This window comes from Homo sapiens, chromosome 2 (assembly GCF_000001405.40).
Source record: "Homo sapiens chromosome 2, GRCh38.p14 Primary Assembly".
In the NCBI taxonomy this organism is placed as follows: domain Eukaryota; kingdom Metazoa; phylum Chordata; class Mammalia; order Primates; family Hominidae; genus Homo; species Homo sapiens.
Genome location: NC_000002.12, coordinates 42383438 through 42410801, shown reverse-complemented (window position 1 = coordinate 42410801; position 27364 = coordinate 42383438). Strand labels below are relative to the sequence as shown.

General features: G+C 44.4%; 1 protein-coding gene across 1 annotated transcript in view; it reads left to right on the top strand.

Annotated features, from left to right (window-relative positions):
* Positions 1-22450, top strand: part of KCNG3 (potassium voltage-gated channel modifier subfamily G member 3) — a 105631-nt gene extending 83181 nt beyond the window's left edge. Inside the window, exon 5 of the transcript XR_007069666.1 lies at positions 22146-22450. The gene's annotated coding sequence lies outside the window, so the exon portion shown is untranslated. The remainder of the gene's footprint in view (positions 1-22145) is intronic.
* Positions 22451-27364: the final 4914 nt, after the last annotated feature.

The following is a 27364-nucleotide window of genomic DNA, read 5'->3' as shown; positions in this document are numbered from 1 at the left end:
TCAAAAGACAAATGAAAAGCTTAGGAAAAAGAAAAACAACTTGGAACTACATCCTAAAGGACCAGGCCCCCTAATTTATATAAAAGCTTAAAAAAATGTTTTTTAAAAACTAAAAGAGCTTATGATCAATAATCAATAAAACAAGAATCAACAACCAAATAGGAAAATGAGCAAAGCATATGAACAGTTTTACATAGAAAATATAAAGTCTCTAGAAAATATAAAGTCCCCTACTTGCATGAAAATATACTCAACATCTTTCAGAATAAGAGAAAAGCAATTTCAATCTAGACTAAGGTGCCATTTTTCACCTATCAAGTTGTCAAAAATTCAAAAGTTTAATAATATACTCCATAGGTAAAGCTTTGGGGAAAACAGTGGATGGGATTATAAATTGTTTCAACCTCTCTAGAATTCAATTTGACAATTTTTGTCAGAATTGCAAATGCGTGTATCCCTTGATCAAGCAGTACCACTTCTGATAATGTATACCACAGATATACCCACACATGTATGAACTGACATACATATAAGGTTATTCATTGTGCATTGTATATAATAGAAAAGATTGTAAATAATCCGATTGCCCCCAAAATATGACCAAGTGAATAACATCTGAGACATCCAACAATGGAATACTAGGTAACAACAATAAAGAAGTAGGAAGCTCTTATCCACCTATGGCAAGATCTCCAGGAATTATTATTGAATGGAGAAAGCTACGTACACATCAGTATATATAGTATGCCACCTTTTGTGTGGGAAGGGGGTGGGAAAATAAACATAGATTCATATTTGATTATGAAACCCAAAAGTTCTAAGTGGGGCCCAAAAATTGAGTGGTGTAAATTATGTGATCACATTACTGTAAGCTTCATGAAATGACTGCAATGAGTGTAGTAGGCAGCTGGCTGGCTAGGAGACCTGGAGGTCCAAAAGTCAATTGTCAATCACGTTATAGCCAAATAAGTATTATTGGGGAAGAATAGAGGTTACCTGGGAGTGGGATGCATTGGGTTTAAGGAGACAGGGTGGGAGCGCGAGCTTTTTCACTGTATAATTTAAAAAAAAATTTTTTTTTTTTTTTTTTTTTTTTTTTTTTGAGACAGGCACTCTGTCACCCAGGCTGAAGTGCAGTGGCACAATCATGGCTCACTGCAAACTCTGCCTCCTGGACTCAAACAATCCTTCCACCTCAGCCTCCCGAGTAGCTGGGACTACAGGTGCACACCACCATGCCTGGCTAATTTTTGTACCTTTTTGTAGAGACAGGTTTCACCGTGTTGCCTGTGCTGGTCTCAAACTCCTGAGCTCAAGCAATCCTCATGCCTCAGCCTCCCAAAGTGCTGGGAATACAGGTGTGAGCCAACTCGCCCAGCCTTAAAAAAATGCTTTGAATGGATTATCTATTAAAAATATTTGAAAAATAATTTTTAATTAAAAGATCACCAGGCATGGTGGCTCATGCCTGTATTTCCAGCACAGAGGGAGGCTGATTTGGGTGGCAGCAATTATAGGATATTTGGGGTGTCGTTTTTCTGGCAGGAAACCTCTGTGGCCAGTGGTACCTTTCCCCAAGTTTTGCTCGGGCCCGCTGGAGTCATTTCACTCACTTGGCCTGGCAGGCTGCATTTGGTTCTTGCTGCCAGCCTGGATCCCACACCACCAAGGGCAAGTCAGACATGGAATGGCAAGGGGTGTGTGAGTGAGTGTGGGGTCTGGCCACTGCACACAGTCAGACATGCTGGCTGCTGCAGTGGGGTGGGCAGCTCCAGGTGCCAGCACAGGCACTGGCTCTCTGTGAGGCTGCGGCCGGACCAGGTACCACCACAAGCAGATTCCATGGCTTGCATCGGGGAACAAGCATTCAGAAACTTGGAGACACCAGGAACAGCAGGGCCCCAAAGAGGGAATCACAGCCCTGCCTCAGGGAGCTCCCAGTTTTGGGCTCCGCAAAGGACTGCAGCTCTTCTCTACTTCTCTTCACCAGCAACGTGGTGAGCAAGGGGCATGTTTCAGCCCTGTTTGTGTTACAGCTCTTTTAACCTCATCATTCCATGGTCCCGAGTTCTTGTGCTGCAACCAGGAAGAATAAGGTATGCAGACAAGCAGAGGGTGAGCAGGAGGGTGAGCAAGATGAAGAGGAGCTTTATTGAGCACTAGAACAGCTCAGTCTACCACAGGGGGCAGCTCCTTTCTGCTTCCAGGGTGTCCCAACAAGTGTTCAGCTCCTAGCAAAGAGGAGACCCTGGGGTGGGAAGCTCCTCTTTGCAGGTAGGTTGTCCCAAAATCTCTGCAGCTCTCAGCAGAGAGGAGGCCCTGGAGTGGGTAGCTCCTCTCTGCAGCTGGTCATCCTGAGGTCTGCCCAGCTCTAGCTGAACCTGGGCTTTTATGGGCCTCTGAGGGGAGGAAGTGCACACCAATTGCTCCATTAGCGGCCATGAGCGGGCCCAGAAAAGGCACCACAAGTTCCCATTCTGGTCTGCGGGACAGGCAGCCCAGCCCCTAGCCTTCAGGCCCTATGTGGCCTGAAGGTGGGGCCTCACCGGGGACTCGCCCTCTTACGCCCAGGAGCCTGTCTTGCCTCCCGCTGCTGTTCATGGCGCCCAGGCTGTTCCTGCCAAGGGGCTTCTGCAAGCCAGTGCTGAGCTGCCCTCAGCCCCCACTTGGCTTCCCACCCATGCTCATAGGCACCCAAAGTCCAGAGGGGGCCAAGGTGGCAGGGGGCTAGCATGTCAGCACTGCCCTGAGCCTGTGCACACCTGGCTGTCTTCACCCCAGCTTTGTTCTGAGATCGGCGTGGGCACCAACAGCAGGGAGAAGTCAGGCAGTGGGAGCAGGCATTTCCGAGCCTGCAAGGTCAGGTGGGGCTTTCTGGGCCCCCAAGAGTGTAGGGATGCCTTGGTCCACAGCCACGGTTTGGGTGGCTGCAGCTGCCCCAGAGTTGGCGGGGATGGGGTTCCTGCCTGCTGCATGGAGGCCCGGGTCTGAAGCTGCACCAGGGAGGGCAGGGCTCCTGCTTGCTTTTGGCACCTGCAAGAGCACAGGGAGGCCCGGGTCTGAAGCTGCACCAGGGAGGGCAGGGCTCCTGCTTGCTCTTGGCACCTGCAAGAGCACAGGGAGGCCCGGGTCTGCAGCTGTGATTTGGGCAGCTGCAGCTGCCCCCCAAGCGGGGCTCCCTGGAGGAGCAGGAGGCCTGGGTCCACAGCCATGACTTGGATGGCTGTGGCTGCACCTGGGGAGCTCCCACCCCACCAATTCAGAAGAGGTGGGGCTCCCACTTGTTGTTGGCTCCACAGGGTGTGCAGCCCTGGCCGCCCCTCCCTCCTGCAGCCAGTGTGATGGCAGCATCCGCTCCAGACAGGCTGCTGTTGCCATCACCAAGGTGGGAGGAACATTTGAGTCCAAGAGTTCGAGACCAGCCTGGGCAACATGGTAAAGCCCCCGCCTCTAAAAATATTAGCTGGGTGTGGTGGCGCACGCCTGTAGTTCAAGTTACTCAGGAGGCTGAGGTGGGAGGATTGCTTGAGCTCAAGAGGTTGAAGCTGCTGTGAGCCATGAGCACCACTGCACTCCAGCCTGGGCGATGGAGCAAGACTCCGTCTCAAAAAAAAAAAAAAAAAAGATCAAGCAGATAAAAACAATGATATTAATGACTTGAAAAGACAACTGACAAATGTATTCTGGTAGATTTGTATAGAAGCATGTACCCAACAAATAGAGAATATGAATTCTTATCAAGCATGATGTGAAGTGTTTTGTGTTTTGTTTTTTTTTAACAGTGGACCACTCTCTGATGCAAGTTAGATAATTCTTTTTTTAAAAAGCGTTGGCTACAAATATTAAAGAAATTTTATCATATAGAATGTTTCTTATCACAATGCCATAAAATTAGGAACCAACAATAAAATGAAAGCCCAGAAATCACACTATATTTGTAAACCAAAAGCCTCCTTCTTTTTTTTTTTTTTTTTTGAGAAGGAGTCTCACCCTGTCACCCAGGCTGGAGTGCAGTGGTGCGATCTCAGCTCACTGCCACCTCTGCCTCATATGTTCAAGCAATTCTCCTGCCTCAGCCCCCCAAGTATCTGGGATTACAGGCATGTGCCACCATACCTGGCTTATTTTTTTAAATTTTTAGTAGAGATGGGGTTTCACCATATTGGTCAGGCTGGTCTCGAACTCCTGACCTTGTGATCCACCCACCTCAGCCTCCCAAAGTGCTGGGATTACAGGCGTGAGCCACTGTGCCCAGCCTGCCTCACCTCTTAATAATGCATTAGGCCTGGTGCGGTGGCTTTATGCCTGTAATCCCAGCACTTTGGGAGGCCGAGGTGGGTGGATCACCTGAGGTCAGGAGTTCAAGACCAGCCTGACCAATATGGAAAAACCTCATCTCTACTAAAAATACGAAATTAGCCAGGTGTGGTGGCACATGCCTGTAATTCTAGCTACTCCAGAGGCTGAGACAGGAGAATTGCTTGAACCCAGGAGGCAGAGGTTGCAGTGACCCAAGATGACTTCATTGCACTCCAGACTGGGCAACAAGAGTGAAACTCCATCTTAAAAAAAAAAAATTAATGTGTTAAAAAAGGACAGGGAAAGGTACCAAATATCTGGAACTGAATGACAATGAAACCCTGTAAAATACACTAGCGAAGTATCAAACATTGTGGGATGCAGATAAAGCAGTGTTGTTACTAGTAAACAACAATATTGAAAACATGTCATTTAGTGCTCAACTTAAGTCTAGAGAATGGGCTGGGCATGGTGGCTCACGCCTGTAATCCCAGCACTTTGGGAGGCTGAGGCAGGTGGATCACCTGAGGTCAGGAGTTCAAGACCAGCCTGGCCAACATGACGAAACCCTGTCTCTACTAAAAAATACAAAAATTAGGCCAGGTGCGGTGGCTCACACCTGTAATCCCAGCACTTTGGGAGGCCGAGGCGGGCAGGTCACGAGGTCAGGAGATCGAGACCATCCTGGCTAACATGGTGAAACGCCATCACTACTAAAAATAAAAAAATTAGCCGGGCTTGGTGACGGGTGCCTGTAGTCCCAGCTACTTGGGAGGCTGAGGCAGGAGGATGGCGTGAACCCGGGAGGCGGAGCTTTCAGTGAGCTGAGATTGCGCCACTGCACTCCAGCCTGGGCGACAGAGTGAGACTCTGTCTCAAAAAGAGAAAAAAAAAAAATTAGTCACATGTGGTGGCAGACGCCTGTAATCTTAGCTATTCAGGAGGCTGAGGCAGGAGAATAGATTGAAACTGGGAGGCAGAGGCTGCAGTGAGCTGAGATCACGCCACTGCATTCCAGCCTGGGAAACAGAGTGAGACGCCGTCTCAAAAAAAAAAAAAATGCTGCAGAATGAACAAAAAGCTGAACCCAATGAATGCAGAAGGGGTGAAAGAATAAAGATAAAACCACAAATTGATGAAACAGAAAACAAACACAAAGGAGAAATCAACAAAACCAAAAGCAATTCTTTTGAAAAGACAAAATAGACATCTGCCAAAAGTGAGAAAAAGAGAGGAAGAAAAGGTAAATAATATTAGGTCAAGAGAGTGCACATAACTGCATGTATAGTAGAGAGCTATAAAACGTGATTCCAGACGTATTAGATATAGTTGATTGGCACTGGATAGTTATTTCCATCTCCTTCGAGGGCATTTGCCTAACTACAGAGATTACAAAGCTGAAAACTGCATTTCAATTAGGTTTCTAGATGAGAATCAGATTTTGCTAGTTAGCTGCAGTTGTGTGAGATTTGGTTGGAAGAAGGGAAGCAATGGCCATAATTCTAAAACTTTGGACTGACTTTTTTTGCTGCCAAACTCAGAGTCCAGGATCCGGCTTTGGGGGTCTGGGGAGTTGTTTGTAGCAGCAGCAACAGCAGCTGGAATCAGCAGTGCCATATCTAGTTACAGCTCTTAAGAGTCAGTGGTGGTTTTAACCATGGCTTTGTGACCCGGGATTGCAATCATTGCCGTGTATACTTGAACTCAGTTGTATACACTGAGTATACTCCCCCAGTGGCAGCATCTGGTTCCCTACTTTCCATTGTTTTTTTGGTGAGATGGGGTCTTCCTCCGTTGCCCAGGCTGGAGTGCAGTGGCACAATCTCAGCTCACTGAAACCTCCGCCTCCCGGGCTGAAGCAATCCTCCCACTTCAGCCTCCCAAGTAGCTGGGACTAAGGTGTGTGCCACGACGCCCGGCTAATTTTTGTATTTTTAGTAGAGATGGGGTTTCGCCATGTTGCCCAGGCTGGTCTCAAACCCTTGAGCTCACACAAATCTGCCTGCCTCGGCCTCCCAAAGTGCTGGGATTACAGGTGTGAGCCATCGCGCCTGGCTCCACTTTACTAATGGTGCCATACTTGGCAGCTCTTCTCGACAGCTCTAGACTGTTCTGGGAGTCATTTCTAGAGCTCACTTCTCTAGCCTTGTCAACAATTTTGTAAGCTCCCAGTTCCCTTCATTGAAACAGGGGTTCTTCTTCCTTGTATCAGGCACAACTGATGAAAAGAATACTATCAACAATTCTGTGCCAAGAAATTTGAAAACTTAGGGGAATGGATAATTTCCTAGAAAATGTAAATTACCAAAATTGTCCCAGCTAACACTGAAAACCAGAATAGACTAATAAAATTAACTGACTAGGTATTCAAAACTGCCTCCCAAATGCCCATGCAAAGGTTACTAGGCCTGGACCGTTTTATGGGCCGGTTTTCCCAGAAAAAAAGGTAACCTTTATATCATGCAAATTGTTCCAGAGAAAAGAAAAATAGAAACAGTTACTTAGCTTATTTTGTGAAGATAGTATAACTTTAATATCAAAACTGGATAAAGAGAGTAAAACAGAAGAAAGTTAAAGTACAATCTTAAGAACATAAATGCAGCTAGGGCCAGGGTAGCTCATGCCCGTAATCCCAGCACTTTGGGAGGCCTAGATGGGGGGATCACTTGAGGTCAGGAGTTCAAGACCAGCCTGGGCAATATAGTGAGACCTCATCTCTACAAAAAACTAAAAAATTAGGCCAGGCACGGTGGCTCTCGCCTGTAATCTTAGCACTTTGGGAGGCCGAGGCAGGTAGATCACTTGAGATCAGGAGTTCAAAACCAGCCTGGCCAACGTGGTGAAACCCCGTCTCTACTAAAAATACAAAAAAAAAAAAAAAGAAAAAAAAGTCACGTAGAGAGACTGAGGCAGGAGAATCACTTGAACCCAGGAGGCAGAGGTTGCAGTGAGCTGAGATTGTGCCACTGCACTCCAGCCTGGGTGACAGAGTGAGACTCTGTCTCAAAAAAAAAAAAAAAAAAAACAGAAAAGAAATAGCCAATTAGAACAGAAACAATAAGCCAGGTATGGTGGCTCATGCCTGTAATCCTAGAACTTTGGGAGGCCAAGGTGGGAGGAACCCTTGAGTCCAGGAGTTCGAGACCAGCATGGACAACATGGCGAAATCTCGTCTCCAGAAAAAAATACAAAAATTAGCCAGGTGTAGTGATGTGTGCCTGTAGTCCCAGCTACTCGGAAGGCTGAGGTGGGAGGATCGCCTGAGCCTGGGACGGTTGAGGCTGCAGTGAGCCATGATCGTGCCACTGCACTCCAGCCTAGGTGGCAGAGTGAGACCCTGTCTCAAAAAGGAAAAGGCACATAAACAATAAGAGAGAGACCATTCACATTAACAAGACAAAGAAAATACTTAGAAATAAAAGGCAAACTCCCATTTTAAAACCTATAAAAATACATTTAAAGTCACATAAGAAGAACCAAATCATGTTTATGAAAGGGAAGATTCAGTAGTCTCAAAATGGCGATTCTGCCCAAATTGATCTATAAATTCAATGTGATCCTAACAAAAATTCCCAATAAATTTTTTTGGTAGCCCTTTGACAAACATTTTTTACATTCATATAGAAGATGAACAGCTGTGACAATTCAAACGTAATTCTGAAAAGGAAGAATTAGTACCAGAAATCAAGGCAGCATAAGTCTAGAGTAATTTAAATGGTAGATATTGATACAGAATAAACAAATAGATCAGTGGAACAGAACAAAGAGCCCCAAAACAGAGCCCAAATATTGTGAGATCTTGTTATATGATAGATGTGCTCTGTCAGATCAGTGGGAAAGGGTGGATGTTCAATAAATGGTAATAGGAAAATTGACTTTCTATAAAAAGATAAAATCTCTATCCCATACCATACACAAAACGAATTCCAGCTGAATTAAACATCTGTGCGTGAAAAAACAAAACTTTAAAACTTTTATTTTTAGAGATGGGTTCTCACTATGTTGCCCAGGCTGGTCTTGAACTAGTGGGCTCAAGCAATCCTCCCACCTTGGCCTCCCAAAGTGCTGGGATTACTGGCATGAGCCACCACACCTGGCCCAAAACTAAAACCATTAAAAGGAAAGTATTTGTATTATTCAGAGTTCTCCAGAAAAACAGGCCAATAGGATTGATTTACTTATTTAGGGAACTGGCTCATATGATATTGGAGTCCAAAAAGCCCCACGATATGCTGTCTGCAAACTGGAGAACCTAGAAACCCAGTGGTGTAATTCAGTCTGGACCGAAGGTCTGAGAAGCAGGGGTTCTGATGTCCAAGGGCAGGTAGATGTCCCAGCTCACAGAGAGACAGCAAATTTACCCTTCCTCTGCTTTTGTGTTCTATTCAGTTTCTCAGCAGATTAGATGATGCCCATCCCCATGAATGAGGATGATCTTTACTCAGTGTGCTGATTCAGATACGAATACCTCCATAAACACCCCCATAAACACCCTCAAAAATAATGTTTTACCAGCTATCTGGGCATCCCGTAGCCCAGCCATGTTGACACAGAAAATTAACCATCACAGTATTTCTCTGGTTTTTTGTTTGTTTGTTTGTTTTTTGTTTTTGTTTTTTGAGACGGATTCTCGCTGTGTCACCCAGGCTGGAGTACAGTGGCGCAAGCTTGGCTCACTGAAACCTCCACCTTCTGGGTTCAAGCAGTCGTCCTGCCTCAGCCTCCCAGGTGTCACAGTATTTCTTTTAAAATATTTTTAAAAGGAGGCTGGGCATAGTGGCTCACGTCCGTAATCCCAGCACTTTGGGAGGCAGGAGGATTGTTTGAGCCCAGGACTTCAAGACTAGCCTGGGCAACATAGTGAGACCCTGTCACTACAAAAAATTTAAAAATATTAGTTAGGCGCAGTTGTGTGCACTTGTGGCCCCAGCTACTGAGAAGGCTGAGGTAGGAGTATCGCTTGAGCCCAGGAGGTTGAGGCTGCAGTGAGCTGTGATTGCACCGCTGCACTCCAGCCTGGGAGACAGAGCAAGAACCTGTCTCCAAAAATACATATATGTATATATATTTATATAAATATATTTTTCTCTATATAATTCATCTATTATAAATATTTCAGCTCCTTTCTCCTAGTCTATTGTCTTTTAATTTATGGACAGTGGCTTTTGTTAGAACAAGCTTTATATTTTGATATTAAATGTATTGTTTTCTTCTTTTTAAAATGTGTGTGGATGTATACACATATTATACATATATACATACCTGTATTTTCATATGTGTATATATTATATATACATATATTTTTCTGTGTGTGTATACATATAAACATGTATACACCAGAGGAAAAAAATATGTATATATAATATATACGCATACATTTATATATACATATAGACAAGTGTATAATATATACATATACATTTTAAATGTAAATATATGTATGAATATTTATATACACACATGTGTTTTTAAAATGAGAAAACAATACATTTAATATTAAAATATAGAGCTTATTTTGACAAAAGTCACCATTCATAAATTAAAAGACGACAGACTGAGAGAAGAGAGATGAAATATTTATAATAGATGAATTTTAGTATATTGGACAAGCATCACTGGTGAATAACCAAAAACAACTTCTTTTTTTGTTTCCAACTTCCTTTAAAAATTTCAGTGGGTTGGTTGCTGTAACAAAAATACCATAGGGGAAAAAAAAAACCCATTTTTTCCAGTGGGATAATCTTTTTTTGCTCCTGGATAAAAACTCCGGCAGGTCCAAGACTTTTCTGTTCATTCTTAGATAATAAATCTTAGAGTCACTTAGTCACAAGACATAAGCCTAGTCTCAATTTATATATTGAATTATCCATCCAAGATCTTAATAAAAACTATGAACTTCATTTACTGTCTAAATTTCTTTCCTCCTCCAACTTAGGTCTGCTTCAGGTGGGTGACAAGGAGGGGGTGTTTGGTGTTTTTCTTTAGTTCATTCTTGTGGGTTCTCTCAACTCCTCCAACTTTAAGCCTGCTGCCCAGTTTTTATCTTTCCAAGGTCCAGATGTAGGAACAGAGGGATGGCAAATGGGATAGAAAAGTCCTCTCATAACCTGGCTTTGAATTCTGAGCTTGGTAGAGTTTAAAGCATGTTTTGTTGTCTCATGGGCACTGTCATGGTCTCTTAGGAAATTCTCTTCCTAGGGACCTCCATCCTGCAGGTCCCTTGACCTTGACAGATGGGTTTTATTGTGAGTGGTTGCTTGTGTTTCCTTCCAATTGGGCTTCATCTCTAGCTTCTTTCTACTGGGTTCCCTTTGCTCCTTGAAGTGGACCTATTGGACAGGACTAAGACCACCCATGCCAGCCCTCTCCCACACTGCCCATATTTTTATTTTTTGAGACAGGGTCCCGTTCTGTTGCCCACACTTGAGTGCAGTGGTGTGATCATGGCTCACTGCAGCCGCGACCTTCCAGGCTCAAGCGATCCTCTCTTCTCAGCCTCCTGAATAGCTGGGACCACAGACACTGCACCCAGCCTGCTCACATGTTGTCCATAGAAACACTGATGCATCCTTTGTCCTGAAGAACTCAAAGAGTGGAAGGTTGCTGGTACTTGAGTTTCTAAGGCAGGAGTCAGACCCTGGTCCATGGTGACCCCCAACTGTAGGGAGAGACGTATCAAGCTTCCTGAGTAGTGTCATAGAAGCCCATTCTCCCTAGGATTCCGGCAAAGGAGAAAGCAACCCTGTGCACCTAAGCTGAGAGGGGATGGGAACTGCTCACAGTGCAGCAACAAGTTTCTCTCCATCAAAATCTCTTCAGAAATTTCTCTTCTGTCTCCACACTCTTACCCTTTAATTATTCTTGATGTGACTGAGGAGTCTAAGAATTATTGAACTAGTTTGTTTCTGAAATTTTCTTTGTAAATTCTGCATGTGTTTCCTGGTCAAAAGGCTAAATAAATAAATAAATAAATGCTGCATGGGAGAGCCAGCCTCACTCTCACTTTGGTATTTGCTATATAACATGTCAGTAGCTCTGACTGAAGATTAGAATTGAAGCTGAAAGAGCCCTATTTTAACATCACGTTACTCAGAGGAATAGTATCTACAATAGAGAACTTCCACAAATAAAAAAGAAAAGGACAGGCCGGGCGCGGTGGCTCACGCCTGTAATCCCAGCACTTCGAGAGGCTGAGGCAGGGCAGATCACTTGAGTCCAGGAGTTCAAGACCAGCCTGGGCCAACGGGGCAAGATCCTGTCCCTATAAAAGGCACAAAAATTAGCCAGGTGTGGTGACATATGCCTATGGTCCCAGCTACTCGGAAACCTGAAGTGGGAGGATCACTTGAGCCCAGGAGGTCAAGGCTGCAGTGAGCTGTGATGCAGTCACTGCACTCCAGCCTGGGTGACAGAGTGAGACCCTGTCTCAAAAAAAAAAAAAAAAAAGAAAAGAAAAAAAAAGAAAAGAAAAAAAGAACAACCCAATATTAAAAAACGGGCCAGGGATATGAACAGGCAGTTCACAAAAGATGAGCCTTACAAGGCAATGAACATTGAAAAGATGCTGAGGGTGAGGCGATTCCTGCCCAGGCAGAGCTCCCAGTGGTTGAGGCACCCTTGGTGTCTCTCTTCGAGTCAGTAATGTTCACAGTGCTGACATGTCAAAAATTCCTTTTCCATTTCTCCCTGGAGCTCTGGGACCCTACTGTAAGCAAGATTTGTGAAGGTCTGTCCTCTTATCCCTGAGTTCCCAAAATGAGCCCGGCTCCTGTCCCTTGGATACGTGAGAACATTTCCCCTTGCCTCTCGCATCTTTGTGTGCATGTTCACAGCTTGTTGACATCTTGTGGATCCCATCACTTGCAGAGTAAAAGGAATGAACCTTCTACTGTTGCAAGTTGTATTTGCTCCTGGGCCGTTTCAGAATTAATAACAAAAGATTGGTTTCTGTTGGAAGACGGTTTATTTAATCTGGAAGGTTACAATGCTTATCAAAGCCATTCTGAGTCTTCCATAATGCGTATGTCTCAAAACTCACCTGCTTAGATTTTTCATGGGATTCCCAGGGCTCTTCCTGGGACACTGTCATCTTACCTCTGGCCAGAGGAAGAGACTGGATGCTCAGAAGTTGAGCAAAACAAGGGCCACCAAAATGATGGAAGCAACCATGGCAAAAAGCACTGATCTCAGGGTCCAATTCTCAAGTATTATTCTTTCTTCTTGATTTTATTTTATTTTATTTATTTATTTATTTATTTATTTATTTATTTATTTATTTTTGAGACAGAGTCTCGCTCTGTCACCCAAGCTGGAGTGCAGTGGCGCGGTCTCGGCTCACTGCAAGCTCCGCCTCCTGGGATCACGCCATTCTTCCGCCTCAGCCTTCCGAGTAGCTGGAACTACAGGCGCCCGCCACCATGCCCGGCTAATTTTTTGTATTTCTAGTAGAGACAGGGTTTCACTGTGTTAGCCAGGATGGTCTCGATCTCCTGACCTCGTGCTCTGCCTGCCTCGGCCTCCCAAAATGCTGGGATTACAGGCGTGAGCCACCGTGCCCAGCCCGTCTTCTTGATTTTAAAGACAATGTCTGCCTGTTAGAGTTGTGAGAATTAAGTGGCTAGCTACATATGAGAGTGAACAGACTCTAAAAGGGCCATACAAATGCCAGATTTTCTCATGCATAACACAAACATGTCTTCTTAAAAACACATTCTTATTTTTCACCATTATTAAGTGAACTCAGACTCATGAAAGATAATTTTGAAAATATAAGCAAGTAGAAAGAAGAGGAAAACACCCAGTCCCATTCTTCAAAGCAACCACAGAGCATTGTAATGTACCTCCTCCCAGTCAGTATCCCATGCAAAGGCTTGAACATAAGATGTGTGTCACCTTTATACCTAATATCACAATACTTTCTTACATGATTTCAGTCCTTATAAGCCTCTTTTTTCTTTTCATTTAATTTTTGAATATGTAAACCATAATTCCAAAGTTGAAACTATAATATATAATAGGCATATGTATAGGTAAGCTTCAATCTCTTTCCTCTGTCAGTCTCTTTCTCCTCCTGTAAGTAATCGTGCTTATTTGTCTATGGTGTGTCTTTCAGGTACTTACATATATTACCCCTTCCTTCCCACATGAAAAGTAACATATACTATACCTTGCTTTTTTCTGCCAGTATATCCTAGAAACCATCCCATTTCCGTGATTAGAGTTTTTTCTCATTGCTTTTTTTTTCTCTTTTTTTTTTTTGAGATGGAGTTTTGCTCCTGTTGCCCAGGCTGGAGTGCAATGGTGCGATCTTGGCTCGCTGTAACCTCCACCTCCGGGTTTAAGCGATTTTCCTGCCTCAGCCTCCTGAGTAGCTGGAATTACAGGTGTCTGCCACCACGCCTGGCTAAGTTTTGTATTTTTAGTAGAGACAGGTTTTCGCCATGTTGGCCAAGCTGGTCTCAAAATGCTGACCCACTTTGGCCTCCCAAAGTGCTGGGATTACAGGTGTGAGCCACCGTGCCCAGCCTCTCATTGCTTTTTATGGCCACCCATTACTCCATTGTGTGGCTTTATTTTAGTTTATTCAACTAGTTCCCTAAACAACTAACATTCTTTTAATTTTTTTTACTATAACAAATCATGCCCCAACGAGTGACTTGTGTAAACATAATTTTTAGTGGTTACAGCATGTGCCTGACCTCTCCTACCCATCCATCAGTTTTCAAAGCAATTTCCTGAAACTCCATCCTTGGCTTTGAATTCTCACTGCCAAGCTCTGAACCATGCTCTGTGACCCCCAACTTCAATCTGTCCTGCCCTGAACTTGAAGTTTGGGCGTGAACTTTCCAGGATTAGAATCTTGACTTTCCCAGGGGTCTTGAACTGGTTCTCCCCAGCTCTCACTGGCCCTTGTGGACTCAGGTAGAAATGACTGCAGGAGCCACCAAACTGACCTCTTCTTGCCTACTTTTCTTCTGGTGGAATTTGGAGAAGTTCCGTCACAGTTTATTTTGTCATTCCCTGACTGTTTTTGGTTGGTTGGACTTTTTATTATGAAAAGGAAAAACTAGAAAAGAAAAAACAGAAGAAATAGGACAATGAAATCCCAATACTTCCCCACACCTAGATTAAGAAATTCTTAACATTTTGGCATATCTGATGCATCTATTTTTCCTGAGATTTTTAGAAAAATGGACAAAATTTTAAAGAAATTTATGGACATTAGATGCTTCACGTATAAATACAGATGGTCCCTGGCTTATATGGTTCAACTTAATGATTTTTTTGAATTTGCAATGATGCAAAACTGATATACATGCAGTAGAAACTATACTTGGAGTACCCATGTCACTATTCCATTTTTACTTTCAGTATGGTATTTGATAAATTACATGAGACATTCAATGCTTTATTATAAAATAGGCTTTGTATAAGATGGTTTTGCCCAACTGTTGGCTAATGCAAGTGTTCTGAGCATGTTTAAAGTAGGCTAAGCTAAGCTGTGACGTTCTGTGAGTCAGGGGTATTAAGTGCATATTCTTTTTTTTTTGAAACAAGGTTTTGCTCAACATGTTGCCCAGGCTGGAGTGCAGTGGCTTGATCACAGCTCACTTCAGCCTCAACCTCCTGGGCTCAAGTGTCCCACCTCAGCTTCCCAAGTAGCTGGGACTACAGGTGTGTGCCACCACACCTGGCTAATTTTAAAATTTTTTATAAAGATGGGGCCTTGCTGTGTTGCTCAGGCTGGTCTTGAACTCCTGGCCTCAAAGAATCCTCCAACCTCAGTCTCCCAAGTATTGGGGTTACAGGCGTGAGTCAACATGGCTGGCTTAAATGTATTTTCAATTTACAACATTTTCAATTTATGATGGGTTTACTGAAACGTAATCCTGTTTTAAGTCAAGGAGCACCAGTGCTTATGCATACAATCCAATAAATAAGGACATTGTCCAACACAGACATCATTATTACATCTACCAAAGTAAACAATACAGTAAAAATGCACACCTGTAGTCCCAGCTCCTCCTGCGCACCTGTAGTCCCAAAGTGCTGGGATTACAGGTGTGAGCCACCGCGCCTGGCCCCAACTCCTTCTTAAACAGCCTTTCCACCAGTCTTCCTGTTTCTGGCTCCCCACTCACTGCTACTACCCAATCCTGGCCTTTGTGAGTGTGCTGTAAAAGGGAGTGCTGTGTGTTTTTTTTCCACCTGCTGGCTTATCACTCAACTTTCTTGGAACTGCCTAAATCATGGACCACTTCTCCATGTGCTTTCCAGTTTCCAGAACATTGCTGTTGTCTCCTCTCCAGTTCATTGTTTGTCCCCATGGGCTTGTATCCTTTATAAATCTATAACCGATGAATTAGAGGAGTTGGAGAGGGGGCAGGAGTAAATACCTGTATTCAGTCCACCAGCTTCAGTTATTCTTTGATTTAGAAAAATGCTTTGGTTGCTCTGATGAGCATTTTGGTTGAGAAAGATTTGTCCCAGCCATCGCAGGGCCCCTTGGCATTCAGATACAGGTGAGGGCAGTGTCAAGAGGAAGATGAATTGCTCAGTACTACACCAAGGAGAATTTGGAGTTTCTGGAGTGGTCTGAGACTAGAAAGTGTGAACCCCAGATATCTGAGACAGGTCTCAATTAATTTAGAAAGTTTATGTTGCCAAGGTTGAGGACGTGTGCCGGTGACAGGAGGTCGTGACAACATGTGCCAAAGGTGGTCAGAGTACAGCTTGGTTTTATACATTTTAGGGAGACATGAGACATCAATCATCATATGTAAGATGAATGTTGGTTCAGTTTGGAAAGGCGGGACAACTCAAATCAGGGAGGGGCTTCCAGGTCATAGGTAGCCTCTCCAAAGGAGGCAGTCAGATATGCATTTATCTCAGTGAGCAGTGGGCTGACTTTGAATAGAATGGGAGCAGTTCCCAGCTTGACTTTTCCCTTTAGCTTAGTGATTTGGGGACCCCAAGATTTATTTTCCTTTCACAGAAAAAAAGAGGAAGATGTGAGAAGGGTGTAGGTGTGACAAGGGTCTAGAGAAGGCCTGAGCTAAGTAATACAGGTAAGTTAGAGCAGAAGGAGAGAATGGTAGCTGATGAAAACTCCCCTGTGGGAGGGAATGGCTGAGGAGCTTTGGAAAAGAGAAGCCTGATATCCACCCTTAGGCTGTTTGCTGTGCCGTGGTGTCGGCAGACTGTGTCTCCCTATGTCTACTCTTCCCTGCCTTTTTAGCAGTTTTTGTTGGGCCCCTTATCACTTGGAATAAAGAGCTTCCAAGCTTCCCCTGCAGCATGTCATGGTCATGTGACCCAGTTCTGGTCAATAAAATTTAAGAAGTGTGTTCAAGTTCTGGGCAATAAATGTAAGCAGAAGTGTTATGTCAGAATCCCAGGAAGACTAATTAAAGGGAGTTTATGGCCTGGCATAGTGGCTCACACCTGTAATCCCAGCACTTTGGGAGGCTGAGACAGGTGGATCACCTGAGGTCAGGAGTTCAAGACCAGTCTGGCCAACATGATGAAATCCCATCTCTACTAAAAGTACAAAAATTAGTTGGGCATGGTGTCGGGCACCTGTAATCTCAGCTACTTGGGAGGCTGAGGCAGGAGAATTGCTTGAACCTGGGAGGTGGAGGTTGCAGTGAGCTGAGATTGCACCATTGCACTCCAGCCTGGGCGACAGACCGAGACTCTGTCTCGAGAAAAAAAAAGGGGGAAGTTTACTCAGTCAAGATAACCTCTTTTGGCCCATCTGCCTTTCCTCCTCCTTCTAGACTGCAATTTGGATGCAATGACTGGAGCTCCAGCACTTACCTTGTGTTATGAGGTAATCTTGAAGAAGCAACAGAAAGATAGGAGTCTAAGTCTAACAGTACTATGAAGCTGCTGTACCAGCTCTGAACTTCTTATGTTTGGACAGTTTGTTTGTTTGTTTTTGAGACAGAGTCTCACTCTATTGCCCAGGCTGGAGTGCAGTGGTGCAATCTCAGCTCACTGTAACCTCTGCCTCCTGGGTTTAATCAGTTCTCCTGCCTCAGCCTCCAGAATAGCTGGGATTACAGGTGCCCGCCACCACGCCCGGCTCATTTTTGTATTTTTAGCAGAGACAGGGTTTCACCATGTTGGCCAGGCTGGTCTCAAACTCCTGACCTCAAGTGATCTGCCCACCTTGGCCTCTCAAAGTTCTGGGATTACAGGCCTGAACCACCGTGCCTGGGCATTTTTTTTTTTTTTAATGTAAGAGATAAATAAAATTCTTTGTTTTTTTTTGTTTTCCTGTTTTATCATAATAATCACTTATTGCATGTCAAGTACTGTTTTAAATGCTTGGATTATGTACTAAGTTAATTCTCTTACTACCAACTCTATGAAGCAGGTACTATTATTATCCCTATTTTACAGATAAGAAATGAGGCACAGAGAGATTAGCTATTTTGCCCAAAGTTAATTAATTTGGGCTTAATATAATAACAATTTGTGTTTGTAAACTTTGTGCTAGACTGACTGACTTAAACTGCATCAACATAGCTGAACCCAATCCTAACTGATACGGCTGTGAAATCAACCCAATACTCCCATAGACAGTTTTGTTTTGTTTTGATACACATAGAAATTGACGCTTCTGGTCTTAAAGCTTGAAACTCACGTTGTTGTATCTGAGTTCTTTCCTCAGGAAAGGATCCCCAGGACTCTCAAAAGTATCAAAGAACTGAAGCTTACTAGATCATTGCGTCCAGACGATGAGATGCCAGGACCCTCATTCATCGAGATTACTTCCTTACCCCTCCTGAGTTCCTATTTTCCCATATATATTTACATTTCTTCCCTGCTTTATAAAGCCCTAATTTTAGTCAGTCAGGGAGATGGATTTGAGACCGAGCTCCCATCTCTTTGGCTGTAGCACCCAACTAAAGCCTTCTCTTTGGCCATAATTGTTGTCTCAGTGATTGGCTTTCTATGCTGCCAGCAGTAGGACCTAGACTGAACCCTGGTGTTTCAGTAACAGCTGTGCACTACCACCCCTGAATCTGCTACCACCACAGTGTTGTATTAGAGAATCAGCAGGTGGGGGACACCCATCCTCCCCTGGCATTACCCACTCCCTGACACCCAGGATGTGAAGGAAGGAGATCCCAAAGTTTCAGGTTGTAACTAGTAGTGCAACAAGCAAAGGGCCAAGGAGAAGCAGAGACTAGAGGAAGGGACCAGGTGACCTGGCAGGGCAGGGAGATGTGGGCTGCAGCATGGACTAAGAGCAGACGGGAGACAAACTCCCTTTCCCTGAATGCATTAGAGGAAGGTGGCAGGGAGAGCCTCCTGAGTTCATGCCTATAAGGCATTTCTGACATTTAGCATCATTTTCTTAGGCATAGGCTTTGGTACATCTTGACTTTATTTGAATTAAACTGATGAAATAATTATTTAGCGAATTTCAGATGCTCTAATTGTTATGAATAAAGAGATCCCTAAGATTTTGCTGTATCTTTGGTAGGAAAAATAGGGGGCCAAATTTTAAGATACTGATATGAGTGCCTGGCACCGTAAAAACATCTTTATTGATGGAATTCATCAAAGACAAGAGATATAAAATGTTTAGGCCGGGCGCGGTGGCTCACGCCTGTAATCCCAGCACTTTGGGAGGCCGAGGCGGGCGGATCACGAGGTCAGGAGATCGAGACCATCCCGGCTAAAACGGTGAAACCCCATCTCTACTAAAAATACAAAAAATTAGCCGGGCGTAGTGGCGGGCGCCTGTAGTCCCAGCTACTTGGGAGGCTGAGGCAGGAGAATGGCGTGAACCCGGGAGGCGGAGCTTGCAGTGAGCCGAGATCCCGCCACTGCACTCCAGCCTGGGCGACAGAGCGAGACTCCGTCTCAAAAAAAAAAAAAAAAAAAAAAAAAGAGATATAAAATGTTTAAAAGAGAGACAAGTGTATGCTAGACATCTACTCTTGATTATTGAGAAGGCTGGGAAGGACAGCTTTCTCAGGAAGCTGTAGAGAGAAATTTGGTCTGTTTCTGTTGCCACTTTGTTTCAATCCTTGGTCCCCAAACTGGCTGTAAATAAGCCAATCTTAAGGATGCTGTTGCAAGCTAGAAGGTGCTGGAAGCAGAGTTTGAGCTCATGCTAGTGAGCTGTGAGTTATGGGTGTTGAACCAGGTAGGTCACTTTGCCCTGGGTCTTTAGGCAACCATTAGGGGCTTGTCTTCTGGTCATAGAAGTGAGGACAATGTGGAGCGCTCCATGAGTAGGAGATGGCTTGCTGGGGGATTTCAATAGCACCATGTTAGAAATGTTCTTCTGCTCTAATTTCCCCTCATTCTTAATAAAGACACAAGACATAATGAGGCAAATGGGCCCTGTATTTGGAATGCAAATCTGGCCTGCAGAGCCACATCCTGGCAGAGCTGTCTGGGAGGAAAATAGTCACAGCAGCGCTCTCCAGAAGAGTCCTTCCTGAAGATTCCCCAGCTGAACCTGGGAGCTCAGCCTACAGCACTTTCCTCCGGAATGAGAGTTGGTGACTCTGGGGGAAATCCTAAGGCAAAACTGGACTGCCCAGAGAAACAAATAGGTGTCCCCAATGAACCTTGCTGAAAAGAGTCCAAATTGGACTCTCGGAGAAAATGAGGGGAAATGAAAATATAAGTGAATCAATCATGGTTTCAGACAGATTTGGAGCTAGGAAGATAACAGCCTGTGAATGCTGGTGGGAGAGCTGTTCTAATAGCTCACTGATTATTTGTTAAGTTTTCGAGTCATCTAAGAGAAACAGGCCTCTCTAAGGAAAGAACAAAGACTTTTTCAGTTTGACAGTTCTGAGAAAGGTGAGGAATAAGTCCACATGATCAAAATGGCCTTATTCAGAGGAGTCTGATAAACAACACAGCAGCCTTGTTTCCCTGGGTTTTAAAATTTTTGTCTTCCTCCTGATCATTCACGTATATCATTTCTCACTCCTTCGTTCACTTTTGCCCCTGGGGATTGGGTCATGCAGCAATCAGGAATACATCCAGGAACAAAATATTAAAGGCACCATCCTTGTTCTGCATTAGAGAGTGAACATTGTAGAGCTACGGAAAATGAAGCCAATCTTTCACCCAGGATGGCTCAGAATAGATCATTCCCTGGGATCTGCATCCACCATTCATAAATGAATCCAGAGCTTTTCTAAAGGAGCTTAAAAGATTTTATTCCTAATCCATTTTTTTTCTTAGAGCTTTGGAAATATGGCTCTGTAATTTAATGATTACAGGAGATGAGCAAAAGAATGAACTAAATAAGATAGCATCAGCTTGCTTTGTAATGAAGGGCCAAATTTTTCCAAATATAGAGCAAAATCCAATTTTGGTGCTGTTGTTTATAAATGTTTCCTGCATGACATTCACATGGGAGATGCAGTAGGAACACACATATGTCCTTTCCCACATAGAGAGCCTTCCCCTTGGCTCTTTACAAAGTTAGGGTGGGGGCAGTAAGCCACCATGGTCACTTTCTCTAAATCTCTGGCACTGCCCTATACAACAGTAAACTTTGCTGATGAAACAAATATAGGCAGAAACAAGACATACCCCAAAACAATGAATAACCACTAGTTAGCATCACAGACAGCAAGCCCCCAAAGCACCAGGGACTTTCTTGCAGTTGATAACAAATAAGATTTAAAAAGTGATGCCACACAAAATATGGTGTGGTGTCCTGGACTGGATACTGGAACAGTAAAAGAACCTTAGTGGAAAAAACTGGTGAAATGTGAGTAAAGTCTGCAGTTTAGTTAATTATGACATACCAATTTAAATTTCTTAGTTTTGACAAATGCACAATGGTCAGGTAATATATCAACATTAGGATAAACTGGGTGAGGTGTTTTCAGAAACTCCTCATGCTATAATTACAACTTTTCTGTAGATACAAATATATTCCAAAATAAAAAGTTTATTCTTGAAAAAGTGAAGTCACATTTTTATTTGTTACTACTGGGAGCATAAATGGGTCCAAATGTTCTGACACTGCTCATTAAAATCTTTAGAAATGTATGTGCCCACTGACCCATCATTTCATTCCCAGGAAATAGTCAAGGGCCTTTCTTTCAGCACTCTGAGTAAAGTTGGTAAGAAACCAGAAGTCCAAATTTAGGGACCATAGGAACAATAGTATAGCCATGCCAAAGAATTTACAAAGTTACTAACAGCGATGTTGGGGAAATGTTTGATGATGTGGAAAGACTATGATCATACACTGTTAAGTGATAAAAGCAGGTTACAAAGTAATCTACATGGGGCCGGCAAGGTGGCTCATGACTATAATCCTAGCACTTTGGGAGGCTGAAGGGGGAGGATCACTTGAGGTCAGGGGTTTGAGACCAGCCTGGCCAACATGGTGAAACCTTGTCTCTACTAAAAATACAAAAATTAGCTGGGTGTGGTGGCAGGTGCCTGTAATCCCAGCTACTCGGGAGGCTGAGACAGGAGAATCGCGTGAACCTGGGAGATAGGGGTTACAGTAAGCCGAGATCCTGCCACTGCATTCCAGCCTGGGTGACAGGGCGAGACTCCCTCTCAAATAAAATACAAACAAAAACCAAAACAAAGTAATCTACATAGTATGATCTCATTCAAAAAAAAAATTATGTGCTTAGAAGAAGGAGACAAGATATATCAAGGTATAAATAGTGGTTTTCTCTAGGCGGGTGAGACTATTGGGTGCCATAGACTGAATTGTGCCCCCTACCTCCAAATTCATATGTTGAACCCCTAACTCCTGGTGTGACTGTATTTGAGGATAGGGCTCTTAGGAAGTAATTAAGGTTAAATGCAATCATAGGATTCTACTCTAATAGGACTGGTGGCCTCACAAGAAGAGACAAGAAGAAAGCTGTCTCTGTGCACACACACCGAGGAAAAGCCATGTGAGCACACAGCGAAAAGGCAGCCGAGCCCACAAGCCAGGAAGAGAGCCCTGCACCCCAGAACTCAACTGTGAGAACATACATTCCTGTTGTTTAAGCCACCAGTCTGTGGTATTTTATGGCAGCCCAAGCTAAGACAGTGAGTATGTACATTTTCTTGTTTTTGCTCTCTGTTATTTTCTGTAGTGAATATCAATTGCTTTATTATTTAAAGAACAATAAATGTGAAACGTTTATTCTTAGGGCTCACTTCATTATCGACAGAAAGGAACACAGCTCTCTGGGTCTCTTTCGGGAATAGTATTGAGTGGGAACGGTGAGATCACCCAAAGATCATTTCCTCGCGGTGTCCACCTGCTGTCAGGCTCCTTATGCCAGGTGCTCAGGGAGGGGGCATGGACCCCCACATCCCTGGCATTGCCAATAATTTCTAGCTGAGCTTGCACAGTGATTTAGAGTTTAAAACACACATCTGTATATGTTAACTTAGTTGACTGCCACAAGCAGTAAGCAAGGCAGGCACGAGCAAGGCTTAGGGAGGTTAGGTGGCTTGCCCAATGTCACATGGCTAGTGGCAGTGGACCCAGGTCCAGGAACTGGGTTTCTTGGCTCCAAGAACAGTGCCCGACTCTGCTACTAGTTACTGCCTATCTAGTTCTTTCTTTTGCATCAGTCCTGGTTAATCTTGTGAGTAAGATTTGGAGAGCAGTCTCAATCCTCCAGAGTCCCACTCCAGGTATAAATTTCATATTGGAAATAGAAAGGTGTTACATTCTCCTACTTCCTTGCCAACCATGAGCTATTTCTGGGCCATGTGTTTTCCAGTACCCCAGAGGGTGTGCAGGCTGTGATAGAGGCTCCAGCAGCCAGTCTTGATTTATTCCTGTGCATCCACCTGGTGGCAAGGTGAAGCCTGGATGCTGGGCCCCAGAAAGAAGGTGGTGCTTGTGACAATGGCTTTGCTGCAAAAGCTAGAATCTGTCAATGTTGAAATCCAGCTTCAGACTTATCTATTTATGAATTTGTTCTGCATTGACAAGTATGAGCTTGGATAAACATCTTTAAATCCTCTTAGGGATTTTGCTGTTTTTGCATTAGCGAATAAGAACTGTTGCAGACATCGGCACTCTTTGCTAGATTTCTTAGTGTTCTAGGAGTTAAGTAAAATTTAAGGTGACTGAGTGGAAGAACTGGGAAGAGTTTGTATTGGCATGAGGATTGCTACTGCTCTCTTTGACTATGGAACTTAAAAATAATATTTACATATAAGGTAGAAAAATAAAGAGTATTGTTGGCCGGACGTGGTGGCTCACGCCTGTAATCATAGCACTTTGGGAGGCCGAGACGGGTGGATCACCTGAAGTCAGGAGTTCAAGACCAGCCTGACAAACATGGCGAAACCCCATCTCTACTAAAAATACAAAAATTAGCCATGCATGGTGGCGAGCGCCTGTAATCCCAGCTACTCCGGAGGCTGAGGCTGGAGAATCACTTGAACTCAGGAGGTTGAGGTTGCTGTGAGCCAAGATTGCGCCATTGCACTCCAGACTGGGCGACAAGAGCAAAACTCCATCTCAAAAAAAAAAAAGTATTGTAATATGTGCACTCAACAGATGTATGTCAGTGCTCAAACTGTGCAAGGCATCGTGCTAAACTTGAAGACATGCAAAGCTGAAGACCAAAATAACACCTGCTGTTAAGGCAAGGACTGTCCACTAGGGGAGATAGACATGCACACACATTATCATTACCCAAAGAGGGTGGAAATGTGGAGGATTCTTTTAATTGTTATAATCTCTAGGGGCCATCTCTGGCATTTGACCAGAGGAGAACTGACCTGGTGTCACAAAGCGGGGCAGTGTGATCAGAATCAGGACCGACCCAGATGTACAAACCCTCAGCCCCAATTCCCTTGAACTTCAACTCCATAGAAGAGAGTGCTGGAGGCTGGGCTGGCACCTCTTCCTCTCTACTTCACCCCTTACACCTGGAAGGCAAGAAGGCCCACAGCAAGAATGGGAGGGAGGCTTCTGTCAGAGGAAGAGAAGTGATCTGATAGAGGCCTTCCCTACTCCATAACTTCCAATCACTGTCTGATGAGGCAGAGTCAGGGCCAGACTCTTCAACATGGTCTCCAAGACCCTCCCTAAGTGGCCCAGCCTGTGGACATCAAGGATCAAGGAGCCCATCTCTCCTTGATCCTTTCCACCATCCTTGCTGACTTTCCTTGGAAGACCAGAATATGCTGCCCCCAAATTTGAAGGATTGATGAGCTGAAGATAAGAAGAAGCAGATGCAGGAAAGCTCTCTGCCCTTCCTGTATTTGCCTAAAAGCATGACACAGATTTACAGGGACAAAAGGTTTCCTGGCCCCCTCTTCTTCTTCTTTTTTTTTTTTTTTTTGTTTTTGTTTTTTGAGACCAAGTTTCGCTCTTGTTGCCCAGGCTGGAGTTCAGTTGTGCAATCTCGACTCACTGCAACCTCCGCCTCCCAGGTTCAAGTGATTCTCCTGCCTCAGCCTCCCTAGTAGCTGGGATTACAGGCAACTGCCATCACACCTGGCTAATTTTTGTATATTTAGTAGAGACGGGGTTTCACCATGTTGACCAGGCTGGTCTTGAGCGTCTGACCTCAGGTGATCCACCCACCTCGGCCTCCCAAAGTGCTGGGATTACAGGCGTGAGCCACCACACCTGGCCCCGGCTCCCTCTTCTACTAGGGAGGACAAAGTTTAACTGCTGAAGACAACTTTGGACCCTTATCGGCATGGAGATGGTACCAGAAGAATCTACATTAACGAGCCTTGGTAATTTGCCTTTATCTGCATGTATTTGCTCCCCCCCAGAGTGCTCCCCCTAGAGACCCAAAGTCCTTTTCTCTTGTCTTGTCACTTATCTAAAAATTTACTGTTCTTTGTTGAGAATAAGCTGGAATTCAAGGCTGCCTCTTTGAGAACTCTCATTGCCCGGGTGTCTCCCATGCACATGTGAACTCTACATGTTAATAAGCTTCTGTTCGTTTTTCTCTTGTGAATCTGTCTTTTGTTACAGGGGTCTGATGGGGGTTATTCTTTCCTGACACCTTGAAACCCTCCTGCATTTTGCTGACACTGTGACTTCCTGCATCATGTTCTCGTGTCACCTTCTTTCTCCTGAAATCTTAGGCACCATAGTCCAGCTCAGATGCTTCTGCCTCCCTCTTTCCACAGTCCCTGCCTTTGGAAGGGCTCCCTCTGCTGCTCCCAGTGCTTGGCTCGGCCTGCTGTCACAGCAGGTTGGTGGTGTCCTCCCATGAGTCTCTGAGGCTGTGTGTTCCTTGAGGGTAAGGACTTGGTCTTCCATCGGCGTCTCAAAGGCAGCGCTGGCAACATTCATTTTGGCATTTTTAGGGCCAGCCTCAGCCTTCCACATCCTCAGTGATGATAAATTTTTTATTTCTTCACTGGGATTGCATTTTCTCTCTGTCACTGTTTGACGCTTAGTAACTGGCCAACAAATCTTTGTTGAATTGATTTGAGGAAGGCATGAAGTGAGACTAGCACTGGGGAGAGGCACTTGTTCCCCAGTTATTTACAAGAAATAGTAGAAGCCTGAGGTTTTAAATGACAACTGGCAGCCCAGCTGATGGCCTGTGTGTCCCAGCTTCCTTGCAGCAGCAACAGCCTTGCTGACGACCACAGTCCAGAAACTGGCAAGGCTGGCACCTTGCAGAGCTGGGGGAAGGCAGGTGGGCAGGAGAGGGAAAAGGAGGCTTGGAGAGGCACCCAGCTGCTGTATATTTGGAAGGGAAGCGAGCATTTCAGCTTGAATGTTACAGTGTACTTCTCTTCGAACATTTCCTCTCACAAAGCCAGTAATAGAATCATTAATGATGTTTTTTAAATGTAGACAATCCATTCACCTGAGCAATTGTGAGGTTTAATGACCAGTAAGCTGATGGCTTAGGAGGCTGCTCTAATAACTTTATTTTTGCAAAATGAAAGAAAACTGCCCCAAAGAACTAGGTAGTTTTTAGAGAACTGCACAGTAAATTTAGTCACACCAGGACTGGAGATCCAATGGACTCCCAGTTAAAGTAAACCCACACAGCTGCTCCAGTCTGGAGAGCTAAAAGTTGTTGTTCATATATTCGAGCGCTAAGAAGTGCTGCAGTGTGCATTGTGCCAAATTCTCAGGCCTTTGCCCCTCACTGGGGCTATCCCCAGAGAGTCCCTGAGGAGGAAAGGGGCTAGGAGGATGGCTTACTGACCTGCAGTGGAACACTGTGTGTGGTCCTTACACCCAGGTGTCAGGCCTGCAAACACTCGGGTGGCTTTTCCATCTGTGTGGAAGCATTGTCCATTCACAGCCCTAAGACCCCTTAGACCACTAGCATGGCCAGTCGGGGATTCTGGGTTTATGAAACCAAAGGAAGCTAACCAAGGATGAGCGGTTTCAGGCTCTATTTATCTGACCGATTGGCTCCACACTGGTGGTAGAGGAGGTTTAGGCCACCAGGAACTGGTTTATATCACCAAGAGGCGACCAGAGACCAAGGGAAGAAGGGGATTGAGGCTGGGCCGGAGACTTGGGGTGTGATTGCTACTCTTCCTTCTCTAAGGACAGACGCAGTCACATGCTCATCGAAGTTGGCCTTTAAACGCCAGCACTTGATTTCTGGGCCAAACTGGCCTCTTCCCCTAGCAAAGCATGCCATGTGCTGCAGCTGCTTACCTCAAAGCTGTTGAAAAAGTTATTTGTTCTAAAAGAAAAATCATTTTTTTAAAAGACTACAGTGTGTCCCACCACCCAGGGTGTATGTCATGGAACAAATACGAGCCTGACATTGTTTGGGTTCTGTTTCAGGCCATTAACTTAATGGCTTTGGTTCTTAGAAACTCTGCTGCAGACAAGAGTTACCCTCTTACATAAACATATTCATCTGGCTGAAAAATGTATTATTGTTTTCTGAGTAATGGTCATTTAAAGTAATGTGTGTGTTTTGCCCCTTCTGATCATTGTGAATATTTAGGCCCTTTGGGAAAATGGTAACAGCCCCAAGAAGCTCAAAGAACTGCAGAATTTCCTTTTCCTCTCAATCAGATTGGGTATTATAATCATTTTGCACAAGTTGAAGACTGGTACCAGGCCGTCACTGCTGAGAAGATAATT